The following is a 6,468-nucleotide window of genomic DNA, read 5'->3' as shown; positions in this document are numbered from 1 at the left end:
ATGAATTATTTGGGTTTTAAAAGACGAATAAGATTTTTCAAGTAAACAATGGGAAAGGATTAGGGACTTCCAGACTGAGATACTAGCATATGCCAAGGCACAGTGGTATGCAGTACTTGAGGAATAACTGCAAACATTTGTTCTTACAGAAACATGGGATGTTAAGTGGGAATGGAGGGAATGGAGCTGGAAATGCAGGCCTTGGACAGAAGGGGTTTAATTTTTCCCACTAGGAAGCTTAGACTTCCTCCTGTGGGTAAACTAATGAATGTTGACAGATTTCAAGCAGGTCAAAGATATGTTTACATTTTTATTTTAGAAAAGTTTTTTTTTTTTTTTTGTGGGGATAGTATGGAAAAGGGATTCAGAAGAAAGGAAACCAGTTAGGCCAGTTAGGAGAGAACAGGTGAAGCAATAGATGAAGACCTAAATGATACAAACATGTTGGGGATAAAGAAAGAATGTAGAATGGCGAAAGAAGTCAGAGATGAAATCAGTTGTATTGGTGAGTCTGTGTGAATGCAGAGTGGTTCAGAGTGGGATGAATGAGAGGGACTGATAACAGGCCTTCTATTTCTGGAAACTATGCCTCTGGGGTGACACTAACCAAAAATAGAGAATACAGAAAGGAAAACAGGCTCAGATGGGAATAGCATTCATTTGATAAATACGGTATACATTGATTATATTTTGTACATTTTTATACATATATATATATACACATACACACACATAAATATATAGCCATTGTGCATGAGTCTCAATTTTTTTTTTTTTAGTGAATTTGGTTTTAGACTTCTCAAGTCAGAAAATTTACAGGAAATCTTCTGGGGTATATCCAAATTTATGTTCAAACCCCAAAGTCAAATTCTGATTTTGCCACTAGCTGTGTGATTATGGTACTTCTTTGAGGCTTTGTGTCCTCATTTCTGTCATCCTGATACCAGAGTTGGATTAGAAAATTACCTTGATATTTTTATCCACAAGACATGGTTCTTGGGTTCCACTGGGTCATTAACCATGTACTCAAAGAATAACAGAATTCTAGGTCTTAAAAGGAGATCATTTAAACTAATTCTCTACCTTCCTTGCCCTCAGTGTCAGTTGAGAAAATAGAGGTCCAGAGAGTTTGGTTTGTTGAAAGTAATGCAGTAAATTAATATTGGAATAAGCATTGGAGCCTAGAACTCCTAGCTTCTAATATATCATCTTGACCTACCCCTCAATGTAATGGTCCGTATTATTCCCAATTCTGACTCTCCTATGGTTCTAAAAACCCATATAACTTTGGACAGTTGGAGGAGACAGCTTCTGCTTTGTTGATTTGCCCTGTCAATGTATAATCCTTTGGGGGAATAAAGGAATGCTTGAGGAAGGCGAAGAAGCAAGGCTAATAATGCCCTCTGTCTCTGGTCCTTTAGGGGATTGTTAGTGAAGCTGTTGGTGACACCCCTAGTGACTTGGGGTTTGCTTGAGAGAAACCCTCTTACTCCTGTCCTTTACTCCTTCCTGCATCCATATTCTTTCTACCAAACTCAGGTTTCAAAACCAGAATCTGATAGAGTAATATGTGATTGTAAAGGAAGAGGGTCAACTTCAGCTCTGACATATATTTGCACATCCTGGGGTTTTAAACAAACAAAATGAGTGTTCATTGCTGATTCATGTTTTGCTTTTGGTTCCTTTTCTGCCATAGTCATGTGACATGCACCATGGTGGCTTTCATCATATAATACATTCTGGGTTCTCCTAAATCCTAAAGCACTTTGTAAAAATAAAACCATAGGTCTCATTTTTCTGATGAAGAGAGCAAGGCATAGAGAGGTTTTACAAAGTGATACAACAAATAAAGGGGGAAAAAGAATCCAGGATCATTTTTTTTCACTCTCCATTAAATGATACTCTCTTATGATTTTCTGTTGTCAAAAGCCCTCTCTACATTCTGTATTGTTAGGTCATCATCTCCTATAGTTTGCACAATACGGTGTATTATAGATTGCTCACAAAGCAGCAGATATGAATTCTTTATAATGGATTTATTCTTTTCAATTTTTTTGTCATCTTTGGGCTTAATAGAAATAGTTCAGCATGTTATATTGTGTGATCTGTCCCTAAATAGATAAAAGATTTCTGTGTTTTGAAGGAAACATTTATATTGGTTAATTTGCTGCATTGCCTGCAGGAATGTTAGTCTGTAGGAGGAAAACAACTGTTTCCTGACAAAATTTTCCCTAACTCTGCTAAAAACTCATGTTTTAACAGTAAAATAGGAATAATCCATAAACAATTAAAGAGTAATATCTTCAAGAATGTTTACTATCCCTCAGAACATCTAAGATTGTGAGACACAAAGGTGTCCTTTCTTACATGAAGAATGGCTCTTCCTTAATTCCCTCTTAAGCCGCAAGGCTATGGATGGAGTGAGCATGCAAATGTGAGCCTAGGCATTTACTCCCTGGATATATAGTCCCTGCCTGCTCTTTGAGAGCCACTAGTCTAACGACAATAGAAAGAGAATGTGCACTTTCCTTTAAGAAATTAAACAGCACTGTCCACAATGTGCAAAAGACTGTGAAATTGAAAATGTGTCCCTGGAGTGGATAAAAAAATAATAATAAGTGGCAACTCACAAACAGACTCTTGGCAAATAATCAATTATCTTCTGAATTACTATACAAAACTATAGTTCATTTCACCAGCCCATTGGGGAAACAGTTTCCACACAGGAGACAGTCAGCTTAGATTGGGGAGTTGTTTACAATTTACTTCCAGGGTATCTTCATGTAAATATCAACAGACCATAGTACTGGTGTGACGCAATGTTAGAACCCACGTTATTGGTTTGTTGAACTAACTACGAAATAGCAAATTCATTTGAAGGAAATCTGTTGCTTGTTGCATTTTTGTGGCTAGAGTGTTGACTCACATAGCTTAATTTTTAAATCTGGAGTAACAGTTAAACTTTCCTGAAGATTAAAGATAGGTTTAGTAGATTTTTGCTAGGGCAGCGCTGTTTCATGAACCTGAGTTGAATCTCTGGCCTACGAGTAGATTTAGAGCTGGTTTAAATATAGGAGAACAGGAAAAGAAATGATGCTTTACTACTGGCTGCCCTTATAAATAAAATCAGTAGAATTAAGACTGTTCTGGAAAAATACCTATGATTAATAAATAGACGGGGAAAGAACTAATGGCTGGCTGGCTAGAGTTTTGTATCAGTAAAATTTTAAGTAAACCATAAAATATATATACTAGAATTTAATAAACAATAAGAATCTTAGATAACCTTTCAGGTATGTAAGTCTATGGAAATGTACAAAAGTATTCAGCATCTGTATAACTGGAGAAGAGGATCATAGATGAAGCAGCTTTGGAAGCCAGCTGAAGGAGACACTATAAAGAAAGGAACGATTAACAACAGAACGATCTTCAACTGTCATTGTTCTTTTTACTTTTTAAAGGGGGGTAGGAGGGACTTCAAGTCTACTTAATACAGACTCCTGGGGATCCATTCCTTTATAAGACCCACTTGCCTCATCTACATCCTCAGTCCTGATCACATCCAGCCTCCAGCCTATCCCTTACCATAGACACACACATACCTACAATTACACCCATTTTCAGGATGAGTATAGAGCCACTAACTGCCCAAAGACAGAAAACTAATCAATAGTAGTACTGGGGTTCACCAAGTTGTGTTTAGTCTTTAAACTATCTTTGTTAAAACTCGTAAGTCGTCATTTTGTTTACTGGCCAAAGAGTAAACTATCTTTTTTTTTTCTTTTCTTTTCTTTTGGAGATGGAGTTTCGTTCTTGTTTCCCAGGCTGGAGTGCAATGGCATGATCTCAGCTCACTGCAACCTCCGCCTCCCGGGTTCAAGCAATTCTCCTGCCTCAGCCTCCTGAGTAGCTGGGATTACAGGCATGTGCCACCACACCCAACTAATTTTGTATTTTTAGTAGAGATGGGGTTTCTCCATGTTGGTCAGGCTGGTCTCGAATTCCTGACCTCAGGTGATCTGCCCACCTCAGCCTCCCAAAGTACTGGGATTACAGGTGTGAGCCACCGTGCCCGGCAGACTATCCTTTTTAAAATAACTGCAGATCACCTGAGGTTGGGAGTTTGAGACCAGCCTGACTAACACGGAGAAACCCCGTCTCTACTAAAAATACAAAATTAGCCAGGTGTGGCGGTGGGCACCTGTATTCCTAGCTACTTGGGAGACTGAGGCAGGAGAATCCCTTGAACCCGGGAGGCAGAGGTTGCGGTGAGCTGAGATCATGCCATTGCATTCCAGCCTGGGCAACAAGAGCAAAACTCCGTCTCAAAAAACAAACAAACAAACAAACAAAAACAACCTGACATCTACAATTCAGAACGGTTCTTCCAGAGCTTGCTAACTTATTCTTCAACAATATACTTAGTCTTCAAAAAAAAAAAACCAACATTATTTTTTAGGCCAGGTGCGGTCGATCACGCCTGTAATCCCAGCACTTTGGGAGGTCAAGGCAGGTGGATCATCTGAGGTCAGGAGTTTGAGACCAGGCTGGCCAACATGGTGAAACCCCATCTCTACCAAAAAATACCAAAAAAAATTAGCCAGTGAACAGCCTGGCCAACATCGTTGTATTAGTTCGTTTTCAAGCTGCTGACAAAGACATACCAAGACTGGGAAGAAAAAGAGGTTTAATTGGACTTACAGTTCCACATGGCTGGGGAGCCCTCAGAAGCATGGCAGGAGGTGAAAGTCACTTCTTATGTGGTGGCAGCAAGAGAAAAATGAGGAAGAAGCAAAAGCAGAAATCCCTGATAAATCCATCAGATCTCATGAGACTTAATTCACTATCACAATAATAGCACAGCAAAGACCAGCCCCCATGATTCAGTTACCTCCCCCGATTCAGGTCCCTCTGACAACAGGGGGAATTCTGGGAGATAAAATTCAAGTTGAGATTTGTGTGGGGACACAGCCAAACCATATCATTCCACCCCTGGCTGGAGCAGCTGGGACACAGGGCAGGCACCAAGTCCCTAGGCTGCACCCAGCACTGGGACCCTGGGCCCGGCCCCCAGAACCACCTCTTCCTCTTCAGCCTCTGGGCCTGTGATGGGAGGGGCTGCTCTGAAGGTCTCTGACATGGCCTGGAGACATTTTCCCCGTGGTCTTGGGGATTAACATTAGGCTCCTAGCTACTTATGCAAATTTCTGCAGCTTGAATTTCTCCTCAAAAGATGAGTTTTTCTTTGCTGCTGCATCGCCAGGCTGCAAATTTTCTGAACTTTTATGCTGTTTCCCTTTTGAAATGGAATTCTTTTAACAGCAGCCAAGTCACCTTCTGAATGCTTTGCTGCTTAGTAATTTCTTCCACCAGATACGGTAAATCATCTCTCAAGTTCAAAATTCCACAGATCTCTAGGGCAGGCACAAAATGCCACCAGTCTCTTTCCTAAAACATAACAAGATTCACCTTTACTCCAGTTCCCAACAAGTTCCTCATCTCCTTCTGAGACCACCTCAGCCTGGACCTTATTGTCAATATTGATATCACCATTTTGGGCAAAGCCATTCAACAAGTCTCTAAGAAATTCCAAACTTTCCCACATTTTCCTGTCTTCTAAGCCTTCCAAACTCTTCCAACCTCTGCCTGTTACCAAGTTCCAAAGTCACTTCCACATTTTCAGGTATCTTTTAAGCAATGTCTCACTCTACTGGTACTAATTTACTGTGTTAGTCTGTTTTCATGCTGCTGATAAAGACATACTCAAGACTGGGAAGAAAAAGAGGTTTAGTTGGACTTACAGTTCCACATGGCTGGGGAGGCCTCAGAATCATGGCAGGAGGCGAAAGGCACTTCTTACATGGTGGCAGCAAGAGAAAAATGAGGAAGAAGAAAAAGCAGAAACCCCTGATAAACCCATCAGATCTTGTGAGACTTATTCACTAACACGGGAATAGCATGGGAAAGATTGGCTCCCATAATTCAGTTACCTCCCCCTGGGTCTCTCCCACAACACATGGGAATTCTGAAAGATACAATTCAAGTTGACATTTGGGTGGGGACACACCCAAACCTTATCAATGGTGAAATGACATCTCTACTAAAACTACAAAAATTAGCCAGGCAAGGTGGCGGGTGCTTCTAATCCCAGCTACTTGGGAGGCTGAGGCAGGAGAATCATTTGAACCTGGGAGACAGTGGTTGCAGTGAGCAGAGATCACACCATTGTACTCCAGCCTGGGTGATGAGAGCGAAACTCCATCTACAAAAATAAAATTAGGCGTGATGGTGCATGCCTGTAGTTCCAGCTGCTGGGGAGGCTGAGATGGAAGAATCGCTTGAACCCAGTAGGCAGAGGTTGCAGTGAGCCGAGATCACATCACTGCACTCCATCCTGAGTGACAGAGTGAGACTCTGTCTCAAAAAATAATAATAATAATAATAAATAAATAATCATTTTAAAGTTAA

The 6,468-nt window shown here is 40.6% G+C and overlaps 1 protein-coding gene across 3 annotated transcripts in view; it reads left to right on the top strand.

Moving 5' to 3' along the window:
• Window positions 1-6,468, top strand: part of FIGN (fidgetin, microtubule severing factor) — a 133,398-nt gene that overhangs the window by 68,330 nt on the left and 58,600 nt on the right. The gene's annotated exons all lie outside the window — the stretch shown is intronic.

Source organism: Homo sapiens, chromosome 2, assembly GCF_000001405.40.
Source record: "Homo sapiens chromosome 2, GRCh38.p14 Primary Assembly".
Lineage (NCBI taxonomy): Eukaryota > Metazoa > Chordata > Mammalia > Primates > Hominidae > Homo > Homo sapiens.
The sequence above is the reverse complement of the archived record's forward strand: the minus strand, read 5'-3'. Positions and strand labels throughout refer to the sequence as shown.